Below are 15658 nucleotides of genomic sequence, written 5' to 3' on the forward strand. Positions count from 1 at the left end.
TTAAAAATTCATTGGCTATGGTTTCTTCCTCAGGGAGTGATGGCAAATGAGGCAATTGAATTACTCAATGTTTCCTGTGCATGGCCCAAGCCCTGGAGAACAAGTCTACACAGGTTAGAATAGCCACAAACTGGGAAGCGAATGTTATGAACATAGTGGAGGATTTAAATAAGATACCTAACAGACAAGACTTGAGTCCTTCACATCTCTGCGGGTCTGCAGAGCCGTGCATAGAGTCTTGCATGTAGTAGGCCCTCAACATACATTTTGCTGAAGGGATAAATATTTATATATTCATCTTTGACAGTTAATTTAATTTGCCTTTGCAGTGTTCTCTGGACACAAAGTAGGTGTATTCCAAAATTGTGCCCTAGAATGATATATATGCTTAACTTTTCAGAAATTTATTGTTGTATTTTTATTTTAGAAGAGAAGGTTGCAACTTTATAGAAACATATTGCTGCTGCTTATTGAAGCTAAGGGAATGTCGCTGCATCAATCAGGCCTCATGGCAGGGCTCTCTTTTCTGTGTGTGGGAGGGCACCAGGAACAAATGTTTCTTTTGAGGTGTCCCCTGGCACTGATAGCACTCTCCTCTTCCATTTTCCCTTATCTGGTAAGCTGCTTTATTTCTGAATGTATCTGAGTGAGTTCTCTGGTCTTCTTTCTTAAACCTATTGAGTGGGAGGTGTGGATCAGTATATGTGGAAAGGGCTTGAGTCTGTTGCTAAATCAAGAGGGGGTCTTGATAGGTTGACCAACTGTTCTGTTTTGCCCAGGGACTGTACTAATTTTTGTGCTGAAATTTCCACATCCTTGGAAATCCCTGAGTTCTAAGCAGAGATAGTTGGCACTTGATATTTCAGGTCTTGGACTTTTATGTTGTTCTGGGTTTCAAGTAAATGCTGAACTCCTAGAAGTTACATGGGTTTGAAGATTGAGAAGAACTGATATGTTTCTGATTTTTCTAATAATAATGTGTAAAATGACAGTTGTATAGTTTAGAGATCACCCACCTGGTGGTCTTTGCAAGCTCCATTCAGACTCACAAACCACATTTAGAATCCGTTTACAAGAAGGATCTAGCTTAGGAACTACAGCTTGACTGGCAGAGTGGGGTCGGCAGTTCTCTTCTGTCAGAGGACAGGACAGCTTAGTGGTAGAGCCAGGTTTCAAACCCAATGTCCTTGCCTTGCTTCTAACCACTCTGCTAAGGGGCACTCTGCAGTTAACAATGATGGAGGTGGTTAAAGTGTGCTCACTTTTATTGGAGTTGTTGATTCGTGTTTTCCCAGTCAATCATGACTCCTTTAGAGGCAAGAATCTGGCCTCATTCCACCTTGCATTCTCCCTGGGACCTAGTGGCTTTTGTGGTGTAGGGCAGTCTTTTGGCTTCTTGGGGGGTTGCCTAGCATCCTGGCAGTGGGTGTTGGTATATAAGAACCTCAAAGTTGCAATGCCTTCCTCCTCACTTCCCCCTCCTCTCCATCTTCATTTTCCTACCACCGCCATTGGAGTTCACCCTGTCTGTCTCCCATGGAAAGTGGGTGGAGGAAACTTTATTATTTACATGGGGATAAAAAAATCAGGTCTTCCTAATTCTTGCTGTGTGGGTGTCTAGGTGTGTGCACACTTTTGTACATAGAAAAGACGAGGGAGATATAAAGCCTTATTCAGATTTATGTATCCTTTTATGTAGACAGATTTTAATACTCAGGAACTTGTCTATTTCTTCCAAACCACCCATATTTACTGAGAGGACAAAAAATTTATTGCCCTGTTGCCTAAAAGCAGCTGTTCCAGATGTGTGAAGAGAGGCCATATGCAAACATCCCAAAGGTATGACACTTCAAAGGATGACACTTTATTTAATTGTAAATGTTTAGATTTCTGAGAATTTAATTTCTTTCAAAGTAGAAAGCAGTATGGCATATTAGGAAAAACCAGAATGGTGTAAATGCTAGTATTCTGTGATCTTAGCCAGAAAAATTAAGCTTCCTGAGCTTTATTTTCTTCAGCTAGGAAGTGGCATAATGTCTACCTTGTAGGATTTTTGTGAGGTTTAGGTAGAAGTATTGTTTCAAGTAACAGTTTCTGGCACATCATGATGACTCTAGAAATGGTTGCTATTAAAAGTAAGACAGAATTTAGTTTAGTTTAAGAAAGTGCTTTCAAGTATTAGCACTGCCTAACAATGAAATGGGCTCCACATCATTGAAGGCGTTGAAAACAAGGCCAAATCATTATCTCTCTGGGAAGCAGTAGAGGGAAATTCTATGCAATGTAGAGATTTCCATTATTTAATAGATCATATAAAGAGTTGAGAAATTCTCACCTAAACTTCTCAATAAAAATACTGAAATTAAACAAACACTTTTTGATAGTTTTTATGGTAGATATATGAAATTGATGGGACTCAGAGAAGAATCTCGTTCTCAGAGTGGGGAGACTAGCTGTGATGCTCCTTTTAGAATGATACTTAGTATTCGACCTGTCCAGGCATTGTTGCAAGGAATTGGTGAGGAGAAGAATAAGGAACCTGGGTGTCTTTCTTCAACTTTGTCATGGCCCCCTGACTTCTTCAGTTCTAGCCTTAGGATTCCTTCTGCTGTCAGAGGAACAGGGAAGGACTTTCACAGTGCATGGTCATTTAGCTAACATCCCAGGAAGCACTTTTTGAAGGGAGTGGTTGTTCGGGGAAGGCTGGGAGAGTGGGTAAAAATTGTCTTCAATGCAATTTGTGTGTTTGTTGCCTTAGCTTTGTTATGACGGTATTTGATAGGACTTCCAACAGTTTTCCCCTTACACAGGGTTCAAGATAAATCCACCTTTGATGACTTTTGGGTGTTTGTATATGATAAGTAAACAAGTGGCCCCTTCATTAAAGTTAGTTTAAGGAACACAGTTTACCTAATTTTAGTACTCTACATTCCCTTGACCAAGCTTGTTAATCCATGGCCCACGGGCTTCATGTGGCCCAGGAAGCCTTTGAATGCAGCTCAATGTAAATCTGTAAACTTTCTTAAAACATTATGAGATTTTTTTGCAATTTGTTTTCAGCTTATCAGCTATCATTAGTGTTAGTGTATTTTATTTATGGCCCAAGACAATTCTTCTTCCAGTGTGGCTCAGGGAAGCCAGAAGATGGGACACCCCTGCCCTGGACTATAAGCTATAGGGCTGTTGGCTTACTGCTAGCAGCATTTTTTCCTTGTGGTTTTAATACTAGAAAATGTAACTTCCTTTTAAAAGATGATGCTTTAAAGATCATCAATGAAGTTAAGACCTCAAGTTATCTACAGAAAAGCTTATTATTATTATTATTTTTGCTGCAAACTGCAGAAAGCCTTTATTCATAAGGTAGAAGTACCTCAAAAGCTGTCTGATAAAAACACATTTCTACTGATGTTGTTTGATATGGTTTCTATTCACACAGAATGGAGCTCACAATCAACACAATTAACATGATTAATTATGTCCATCTCAATAGCAATTAAAAATTTTTTAAAAAATTACAAATTAACATTTCTTATAAAAATATACACAATAATTCTCAACAAAGTATAGGCATATAAAATACAGCAATATAGAAAAAGAATAATACATTTTTGGTTGAACATTAAAGTCAAACAATGTGATTTACATATTAATTTAAGGAGAAAAATTGTATGACAGTTCAACAGGTGCAGAAAAAGCGTTGATCAAAATTCAACGTCAATTCATGATATGAATTCTGCAAAATAAAAAGAAGGAAAAATTCTCAGTCTAACGAAAGGCAATTTACAAAAATTCTAGAGCTTATATTATTATTAATGATGAAATGCCAAATGTACTTCCTCAAAGAGAACAGGCATGGTTGTCCAGTTTTTATTTTATTTATTTATTTTTAAATTTCTTCAATGTTTATTTAAATATTAATCTATATGGAATGTAATATCTTTTTGTGTGTGTGTGAAAATGGCCATACTGCCCAAAGTAATTTATAGATTAAATGCGATTCCTATCAAGCTACCATTGATTTTCTTCACAGAATTAGAAAAAACTACTTTAAACTGCATAAGGAACCAAAAAAGAGCCCATATAGCCAAGACAATTCTAAGCAAAAAGAGCAAAGCTGGAGGCATCATGCTACCTGACTTCAAACTATACTACAAGGCTATAGTAACCAAAGCAGTATGGTGCTGGTACCAAAACAGATATATAGACCAATGGAACAAAACAAAGGCCTCAGAAATAATACCACACATCTACAATCATCTGATCTTTGACAAACCTGACAAAAATAAGAAATGGGGAAAGGATTTGCTATTTAATAAATAGTGCTGAGAAAACTAGCTAGCCATATGCAGAAAACAGAAACTGGACACCTTCCGTACACCTTATACAAAAACTAACTCAAGATGGATTAAAGACTTAAATCTAAAGCCTAAAACCATAAAAACCCTAAAAGAAAACCTAGGCAATACTATTCAGGACATAAGCATGGGCAAAGACTTCATGACTAAAACACCAAAAGCAATGGCAACTAAAGCCAAAATTGACAAATGGGATCTCATTAAACTAAAGAGCTTCTGTACAGTAAAAGAAACTATCATCAGAGTGAACAGGCAACCTACAGAATTGGAGAAAATTTTTGCAATCTGTCCATCTGACAAAGGTCTACTATCCAGAATCTACAAGGAACTTAAACAAATTTACAAGAAAAAGACAAACAACCCCATCGAAAAGTGAGCAAAGGATATGAACAGACACTTCTCAAAAGAAGATGTTTATGTGGGCCACAAACATATGAAAAAAAGCTCATCATCACCTGTTATTAGAGAAATGCAAATCAAAACCACAGTGAGATACCATCTCATGCCAGTTAGAATGGTGATCATTAAAAAGTCAGGAAACAACAGACGCTGGAAAGGATGTGGAGAAATAGGAACGCTTTTACACTGTTGGTGGGAGTGTAAATTAGTTCAACCGTTGTGGAAGACAGTGTGGCGATTCCTCAAGGATCTAGAACCAGAGATATCATTTGACCCAGCGATCCCATTACTGGGTATATACCCAAAGGAATATAAATCATTCTACTATAAAGACACATGCACACATATGTTTATTGTAGCACTATTTACAACAGCAAAGACTTGGAACCAACCCAAATGCCCATCAATGACAGACTGGATAAAAGAATGTGGCACATATACACCATGGAATATTATGCAGCCATAAAAAATGAGTTCACGTCCTTTGCAAGGACATGAATGAAGCTGGAAACCATCATTCTCAGCAAACTAACACAGGAACAGAAAACCAAACACCACATGTTCTCACTTATAAATGGGAGCTGAACAGTGAGAACACATGGACACATGTAGAGGAACATCACACACTGGGGCCTGTCAGGGATAGGGGGCTAGGGGAGGGATAGCATTAGGAGAAATACCTAATGTAGATGACAGGTTGATGGGTGCAGGAAACTACCATGGCACATGTATACCTATGTAACAAACCCACACGTTCAGCACATGTATCCCAGAACTTAAAGTAAAATAAAAAAATATAAATATAAAGAAATTTGAAGCATAAAAGCATTTTCTTTAAAACATACCTGGATTGTTAAATTTCCCAACATGCTTATTAGGGAAAAAACATTTTTTGCTATTTGACTGAGTCTAAGATATTTGAAAGTTGCTCAGAACCACTTTGTCAAGATCTAATCACTTTCTACTTAAAATAATATCTTAGTTTCTCTCATACAAGTTACAATGGAGTTTTCAGTCTGAGTTTTCCTGTTTATCCTCAAATTCTCCTGATTAATCTGGTGACTTCCATTTTAATGGAATTTCATTGGGATTTTCATTAAAATATAAACTAGAACTACTTTATTTTCATATTTTTAACTAAAAACATGTACAGAGATGGGATTCCAAATGGATACTGGGAGTTAGAAGAGAAAAAGAATTTAATATCAGTGATTTACAGTTCTTTGTATCAAGGATTTTAGATGTTAAAACTATTATATACTGCAGAAGATTTATTGGTTGAATGTTTTTTTTTTTTTTTCTGAGTTTATCACTTAGGGGTCAGTCGGGGGAAAAAAATAGAAACTGCTCTAGGTGTTTCAACAGAAAGAATTTAATTTTGAAAATTGCTTTCACAGATTATAGAAGGGCTCAAACATCACACAAGCGATGGTGTGGCATCCCAAGTAGTAATACGAACAAGGAGCTACTACTGTCTCTAGGCCTGGGACAACAGAAGAAGTTGGTGTTACCAGGATCTAGAAGCTGGGCTATCTAGTGGAAGATGAAACCATAGCAAGGAGGGACTATCTAGTAGAATCTAGCTTCTCCAGAGCCACAGATAAGACTTAGTCCCCGTTAGAGATTCTATCAAAAGGAGTCTTAGAAATGTTGTTTGCTGTGATTTCAAGAAGAGCAGGAAAAAGGTAGTAAATTTGTCAGAGAACATACAGGCAAATGATTGGGACAATGGGAACCAGCACAGATGTTGTTTGATGCATAAAGATATAGGACCTTTTGGTACCAGAGATGAGACAACTTCTTTATTTTCAGTATGCATCTTGGACAACATCTTCAAATGGTAGTTTGCACTGATTTCTCTTTCCTTAGACCTTATTTTATAAAGGTATAATGTAATCCATTTATAATGGGCATGAAATAAAGTTTAATCCCAAGTGTCTGTGGTTATGTTGTGATGCTTAAAAAATGAGAGACACCAAGCATTATGCTTAACTTAGATAATGCTCTCTTTATCCCAGTAATTTGGGAACTTAAGAGTCTACTGACTAGCAAGCGTATTCATTCCTTAAAGACACAGGCCAGATTCACTCAACAGAGAGGTAAGGCACAATGAAAATGCACAAACTATTTGCAGGCAGAAAGGCAGCAGGCATTCTAAAGACAGACAGGAGAAGAAATCTCCTGCTTCAGTACTTTTGCAGGTCTGAACAATAGCTGGTAGGAAGAGGATGAGCTGGAGCTACGGAGATATAGTTATTGAAGACTTGAAACTTACAGTGTAAACATTCAACAATTGCTGACAGAAGAAAAAGAGGACCCAGACAGAATCAGGACATGAATATTTTTCTTAAAGATTCATTGGTTCCCTAGTGGGAAAAGAGAGAAAGGCAGTGCCTGAACGATGCTTCCCATTTTATCGTTTCTATTTTTAAAGATAGTTTATTTAGTTCATTCATGCATTCAACAAATATTTATTACAGTTTTGCTCTGTGCCAGGATAAAATGATAAACTGGATATCAATGGCCCTTGCCCTCTGAGAGCTTATAGTCTAGAGGAAGATGCTGACTAATGACCAGAAACTCCAGAAAAATCTAACAGTTGTTAGCATGGATGAAGTGAGGACTTCTAGGGTCTTATCTTGAAGGAATACCTAATCCAGGTGGAGTGAGAAAAAGGAGGTGAAAGATTAGTGAAAACAAAGCCCACAATATTAAGCCTTGCAGGATGAGTAGGAATTGTTCAGGAAAAGGGTAATCAGGAAGAATAATCCAGGCAAAATAATAGCATACCATATACAAACTCTTGCCAGGAAGGAGGCCATGGTGTTTTTGAGGATATGAAATAAATTCAAAATGGATGGTAGATAGAGTGCTATGTACTAAATAGCAAGATAAGAAACCAGTGAGGTAAGCAGGCTTCAGGTCTTCATAAACTATATTGAGGAATTTAGATTTAACCCATTCATTCATTTACCCATTCCCCTCTCCATTCAACAAATAGTTTTCAGGTCTATATGCTAGGTGCTGGGCATAAAATGGTGAATGAGAAAGACAGAACCTCTTATCTCACAGAACCCAATAGTCTATGCAGGGAGATAATTTAAAAAGCAGTTTTAGTAAAGCATAAAAAGCTCTATAATAGGGCAGCTATGCTGAAAAGTGGTTGCTATGCAAACATGCAGTAGAGGCACTTAATCTGATTTTGTCAGCAGGGAGGATGATGGTGGTGGTGGGGAGAGGTAAGGACGATGATCCAGAAATGACATTTAACCTAAGACCTAAAGAATTTTTAGGAGTTAGTAGTTAGAAAGATTGAGGTAGTGGTTCTCTAAACATAGGAACGAGCATGTGCCAAAAGCTGGAAGTAAGAAAGCACGTGCCTCATCTGACGACATAAAAGAATTTCTCTATGGCTAAAGGAGTGTATATATCCTCAGGGTAGTGAGAAGAAACATTTAGAGCATTGAGAAAGACTACTGGGCACATATATGAAGAAATATAAGAGTTTTTTAACAGATTTCCTGTATATTAGCAATGATTATTTAAATGTAATTGAGAAAAAAATTGTCAACAAAAATATTAATAATGATGGTAGCAGTGAACACATATGAAGCATTATGACTGGTACCAAAGCTTCTCTTTTGAGTCACTCTGCAAAACCTAACTCTCTCAGTTCTGTGCTCTTTTCACTGCATTATACCATTTCTAGAAACTTCATTCACTGTGTGATCATAACTCTGTTGAAACACTTTTCTCTCTCTTTAGGTTTCCCAAGCCATCTTTCCTGCACTTATAGAAGGGTGACAAGTGTTTAGCTTAGCTCCAGCCAGTAGACAGCCTGGTGACGTGCAGTTCAGCAGCAGAATCTCTGAATGTGTACCTAGGGCTAGGGCCTTCCTACCACAATTTTTGGGGAAGAGCAGTGGCTGCCCGAGTTTGGGTTCTTTTTTCCTGACACCTGTGTTCTTAATCTTGCTGGCTTTATTTTCAGTGTATTCTTGTACTTTCCGTATTCTTGCCTTTTAAAGTTCTTCCTATTCAAAGGATTATTTTCTTCCCAATGCTTCTGGATCATTCCATTCTGCACATTTTGTATTAGATAACATATTGACATTTTACAATGCAATTTTATGATTTTATGGACGTGCACATCAGTTTCTCAGCATGCTGGCCACAGCGAACACATTTCCATCAGTAAAGGCATGGTGCATGGACAGCCCAGATGTTAGCTAGTTGAAGAAACTCTCTAAACCTTGGTTAAATGACCTAACATGCTACTTTGGAATTACCATAATGCCTTTGGGAAGGACATTTATCTGGCTATGTTTAATTTTCTACGGCAATAGCTTCAAGAAAAAATACTGAAGGAGGATTTATTTGCTCAATACTTTCTGTGGTGATATTTTTATTTTATATTAAATATACCTACTATATAAATTCAGTGCTTCCTCAGTTCATCATAGTTTAGGTATATTTAAAATATCACATGCTATCAATGTAAGTGTGAAACCTGTTTACCGAATTTCTTCCTGAGCTGAGTCCAGACACTCTTTAACTTAGAACAAATTGCACATGCAAAATGAAGATAAAATGCCAACATTCAGAGCAAGGCAAGTAAATATTGTCATGAGCGCTGCTGAAATAGAGGAAGGAGCATTGGGCTTGGAGTGAGAAAAAGTGGGTCTGCCACTCTACTTTTCTATTTAGTAGCAGTGGAACCTTGGATAAACCCGAACCTTGCTTTTCTCATACAAAATTGGCACGATGGATTCATGCCTTACTTTCTTGTATTCATTCATTTATGGTTTCATTCACTTACAAAAAAATATTTGCTGACCTCATAGACTGAGTTAGAGAGGACTCCTTCCTCCTCAATTTTTTTGGGAATACTTTCAGCAGGGATGATACCAACTCTTCTTCATACATTTGATAGAATTCAGCTGTGAATCCATCTGGTCCTGGGTTTTTTTCTGGTTGGTAAGCTTTTTATTACTGATTCAATTTCAGAACTCATTATTGGTCTTTCAGGATTTCAATTTCTTCCTGGATCAGTCTTGGGAGGTTGTATATTTCCAGGAATTTATCTATTTCTTCTAGGTTTTCTAGTTTGGATGCATAGAGGTGTTTATAGTCGTCTTTGAGGATTTCTTTTTATTTTTATGGGGTTGGTTGTTATTCCCCTTTGTCGTTTCTGATTGTGTTTATTTGCATTTTTTTTCTTTGTTAGTCTAGCCGATGGTCTACCAATCTTGTTAATTCTTTAAAAAAAAAACTTCCTGATTAGTTGATCTTTTGTATGGTTTTTCATGTCCCAATTTCCTTCTGATTTTGGTTATTTCTTGTCTTCTGCTAGCTTTGGGGTTGGTTTGCTCTTGTTTCTCTAGTTCCTCTAGGTGTGATGTTAGGTTGTTAATTTGAGATCTTTCTAACTCTTTGATGTGTGTGTTTAGTGCCATAAACTTCCCTCTTAACACTACTTTAGTTGTGTCTCAGAGACTTGGATGTCTTGTGTATTTATTATCATTTGTTTCAAAGAATTTCTTGATTTTGGTCTTAATTATGTTGTTTACCCAAAAGTCACTCAGAAGAAGATTGTTTGATTTCCACGTAATTGTATGATTTTAAACAATTTTCTTAGTGAGGCCAGCATCATCCCGATACCAAAACCTGGCAGAGACACAATAAAAAAAGGAAACTTCAGGCCAATATCCTTGATAAATATGAGTGCTGAAGTCCTTAACAAAATACTAGCAAACTAAATCCAGCAGCACATCTAAAAGCTATCCACGATGATCAAGTAGGCTTTATCCCTGGGATGCAATATTTGTTCAACATATGTAAATCAACAAATGTGATTAATCACATAAACAGAACTAAAAACAAAAACCGTATGATCATCTCAATAGAAGCAGAAAATATTTTTGATAAAATTAAACATCCTTCATGTTATAAACCTTCAAAAAACTAGGCATTGAAGCAACATACCTCAAAATAATAAGAACCGTTCATGACAAACCCACAGCCAACATCATACTGAATGAGCAAAAGCTGGAAGCATTCCCCTTGAGAACTGAAACAAGACAAGGATGCCCACTCACACAATTCTTATTCAACATAGTATCGGAAGTCCTAGCCGGAGCAGTCAGACAAGAGAAAGAAATAAAAGGCATCCAAATAGGAAGAGAGGAAGTCAAACAACCACACTTGACACATGATATGATTCTATACCTGGAAAACCCCATAGCATCTGCTCAAAAGCTCCTAGATGTGATAAACAACCTCAGCAATGTTTCAGGGATACAAAATTAATGTACACGAATCAGTAGCATTTCTATACACCAACAACATCCAAACTGAGAGCCAAATTAACAATGCAACACCATTCACAACAGCCACAAAAAGAATCAAATACCCCAGAATACAGCTAACTATGGAGGTGAAAGGTCTATACAACCAGAATTACAAAACACTGCTCAAAGAAATCAGAGATAACACAAACAAATTGAAAAACATTCCATGGTCATGGATAGGAAGAATCAATATCATTAAAATGGCCATACTGCCCAAAGCAATTTACAGATTCAATACTATTCCTATCAAATTACCAATGACATTCTTCCCAGAACTGGAAAAAAATTTCATAAAACTCATATGGTACCAGAAAATAGCTTGAATAGCCAAAGCAATCCTAAGAAAAAGAACAAAGCTAGAGACATCATGTTACTTCACTTCAAACTATACTACAAGGCTACCGTAACCAAAACAGCTTGGTACTGGTACAAAAACAGACACATAAACTAATGGAACAGAATAGAGACCCACAAATAAAGTGGCACACCTACAACCATCTGACCTTTGACAAACTCAACAAAAACAAGCAATGAGGAAAGGACTCTCTATTCAATAAATGATACTGAGATAACCGGTTAGCCACATGCAGAAGATTGAAGCTGGACCCCTTCCTTACATCATATACAAAAATCAACTCAAGATGGATTAAGTACCTAAATGTACAACCTAAAACTATAAAAACCCTGGAAGATGACCTGGGACATACTATTCCGAACATAGGCTCTGGCAAATATTTCATAAGGAAGATGCCAAGAGCAATTGCAACAAAAACAAAAATGGATAAATGGGACCTAATTAAATTAAAGAGCTTCTGCACAGCAAACCAAACTATCAATAAACAGACAACTTACCAAATAGGAGAAAATATTTTCAAACTATGCATCTGACAGAAGTCTAATATCTGGAATCTATAAGGAACTTAAACAAATTAACAAGCAAAAAACAACCCCATTAAAACATGGGCAAAAGACACGAACAGACGTTTTTCAAAAGAAGACATACACATTGCCAACAGCATATGAAGAAAATACTTAACATCACTAATCATTAAAGAAATGCAACTCAAAAACCACAGTGAGATAGCATCTCATACTAGTCAGAATGGCCATTACCAAAATGTCAAAAAATAGCAGGTACTGTCAAGATTGCAAAGAAAAGGGAACACTTATACACTGCTGGTGGGAGTGTAAATTAGTTCAGCCATTGTGGAAAGCAGTGTGGTGATTTCTCAAAGAATTAAAGGCAGAAGTACCATTTTGTCCCAGCAATCATGTTATTGGGTATACAAAGACACATGCACATGTATTTTCATCACAGCACTATTCACAATAGCAAAGTCATAGAATCAATCTAAATGCCCACCCAATGGTAGACTAGATAAAGAAAATCTGGTAAATATACACCATGGAATAGTACACAGCCATACAAAAGAATGAGATCATGTTCTTTGCAGCAACATGGATGATGCTGAGGCCATAATCCTGAGCTAACTAATGCAGGAACAGAAAACCAAAAACCACATGTTCTCACTTATAAATGGGAACTAAACATTGAGTACACATGGACACAAAGGAGAGAACGACAGACACCAAGGCCTAGGAGGGAGAGGTTTAAAGAACTACCTATAGTACTGATACTATGCTTATTGCTGGGGTCACAAAATAATCCGTGCGCCAAGCCCTATGATATGTAATTTACCTATATCGGAAACCTGCACATGTTCCCCTGAAACCTGAAATAAAAGTTAAAAAAATATTTACTGAATGCCTACTATGAGGTAGGCATTTCGATAGGTAACCAACACAGTCCCTGCCCTTATAGGTTGTTGTAGAAGTCGAATGAGGTGATCATACCAATTGTTATCATTTATTAAGTGCCTACTATGTGCCGTGAACTTTACATTATTATTTGCATTATACATATGCCATGGACTTATTACCTCAGTCAGTCTTCTCATAAATCTGTTTGGGTAGTTACTGCCAATGTGCACGTAAGGTAATTGAAGTACAATTTAAAAACTTGTCAAAGTTAAATAACTTATAAGGGGCTTGACTGGGATTTGAACCAAGGTGGATCTGATTCAAAAGACACTGATTTTCCAAGAAAACATGTCAATATAAAAGTTCTTTACAAACATAAAAAGTGCCATATAAAAATAAAATAATATTTATTATTATTGTTCTCCACACCTACATATGATGATATAAAAACAGACCAAAGCCAAAACCAAGACAGGAATTAGGGGCTTAATCATGTTACTGTGGAAATTCTCATTATAATGCTTTTGATTTCTGGTTTTGCAGTTTTGAAATTTCCACTGTCTTTTTCCCCTGTGGGCACACATTGTTGCTGTTCTTTTTCTGTCTGCAGATCATGGCTGGGCTTTTGGTAAGCACATAATTTTTTAAAAATGGAAATGGTTTCATTCCAATGAATCATTGTGTCAAGGAGGTTGTGTACCTCCTCGATGATGAAAATGCCAATTTCTCATAAAAAGGAAAAAACCCTCATTTCAAAAGGTTGAAAATAATGTTATTTAACTAATTTCAAATGGCTACTTTTAGGTCACTGAAAATGTCCAAATATAAGAATAATCTCTTGGGTCTGTAACATTTTCATTTGATTCAAGAATGGATAAACTTTAATTCATTTTAACCTCTTGCCTTTTGGTATTTGGCTCTTCCGACGGGAAGTGTCTCTCCACTGTGAGATTTGTCTTAGTGCTATGGCCTGCTTAATCTGGAATCTGTTTTCATTATATCCCTGAAAGCTAAAGAAATTTCCAAGTTTTTGACACAAAGTGTATACAATTCTATACAATACAGATTTACTGAACATTTTCTTGAAATGTAACATACATAAAGTATTGTAAAAATCAGTATATTTTTAATAGAACATTACCAATACCCCAAAGCTTCATTCATGCCCTCTTTCAAGTATAACATCTGCAAAGCTAACAGCTCTTCTGATTTCTATTAAAATAGATTAGTCTTGCCTGCTTTTGAATTATATGTAGAGAGAAGCAGAATTCTATAATATATCTCTTTTTGTGTCTGGTTTTATTCACTCAACATTATGTTTATAAGATTCATCCCTGTTCCTGCATAGCAGAAGTTTATCTTTATTGCTATATAATATCCCATCTATTTCTTACTCATCCTATTTTATATAGGCATTTTGGTTGCTTCTTCTTTGTGGCTGCTTTGAATATCTGTGTAAATGTCATTTGGTACATGTATATATACATTTTTGGGGGGTGTATATCTGGGGGTGAAATTGCCTGATATGAGAGTATATTTTATACTTCACTAGATACTGTTAGTTTTTCAAAGTGGTTGCACCGATTTTAAAATCCCACCAGTAATATTTGTGGACATCTGTTGTTCTATATCCTTTCCAGGTTTTAAAATATTAACCATTCTGGTGAAGTATAGTGATATATTATTGTGATTTTAATTTGTATTTCCTTAATGATGAATGAGGTTGAACACTTTTTAATATTTTTACTGGCTGTTTGTATGTCTTCTTTTGTAATGTGTTTTGTAGTCATTTGAAAAATGTCTTCCCAAAGATGTCTATTTCCTAATTCCTGGAACTTGTGAATATATCCAGTTACATGGCAAAGGGGAATTAAGGTTGCAGATAGAATGAAGGTTGCTAATCAACTAAGGTTGCTAATCAACTGACCATAAAACAGAGAGATTATCCTGGATTATCTAGGTGAGTCTAGAGTAATCACAAAGGTCTTTAAAAGTGGAGAAGGGTATTGGAAGAGAGAAACAGAGATGGCAATGTGAGAAGCATGCAGTCCAATATTTCTGACTGTGAAGGTCACAGAAGAGGGCTCTGAGCCAAGAAATGCAGGCAGCCTATAGAAGCTGGAAAAGGCAAGGAAATGGATTCTCCCCTAAAGCCTCCAGAAGCAATGCAGGAATGCTCACACCTTGATTTTAGCAGGGTGAAACTCATTCCTACTTCTAAACTACAGCACTGTAAGATAGTACATTTATGTTGCTTTCATCCACTAAGTGTGCAGCAATTATAGCAGCAATAAGAAATTGAAACATCTTCAAGTCTTTTGTCCATATTCTTATTGGGTCTGTCTTTTTGATTTGTAGAGTTTTTTGATATATTATGAGTACTTTGTTGGGTTTGCTCAATATGTTCTTTTTTCCAGCTTGAGGTATCATCAATGGATAAAATTATATATATTCAAGGTATACATGATGTTAAATATATATGTATATATTGTGAAATCATTAACGCGATCCAGTTGGTCAACACATCCATCCATTTTTCTTTGGCGTGGCAAGAACATTTAAAATCTACTCTCTTAGCAAATTTTAAGTATATAATACAGTAATTTTAGCTATAGTTACGATGCTGTACATTAGATCCCTATCCCTAGGACTTGTTAATCTTATAACTGAAAATATATAGCATCTTCCCTCTTCTCTCATCCATCAGCCCCTGGCAACCACCCTCATGCTATCTATTTCTATGAGACTTCTTAAGGTTCCACATATAAGTGAGATCAGATGTTTGTTTTCTCT

The sequence above is a fragment of the Homo sapiens genome, chromosome 1 (assembly GCF_000001405.40).
Source record: "Homo sapiens chromosome 1, GRCh38.p14 Primary Assembly".
Taxonomy (NCBI): domain Eukaryota; kingdom Metazoa; phylum Chordata; class Mammalia; order Primates; family Hominidae; genus Homo; species Homo sapiens.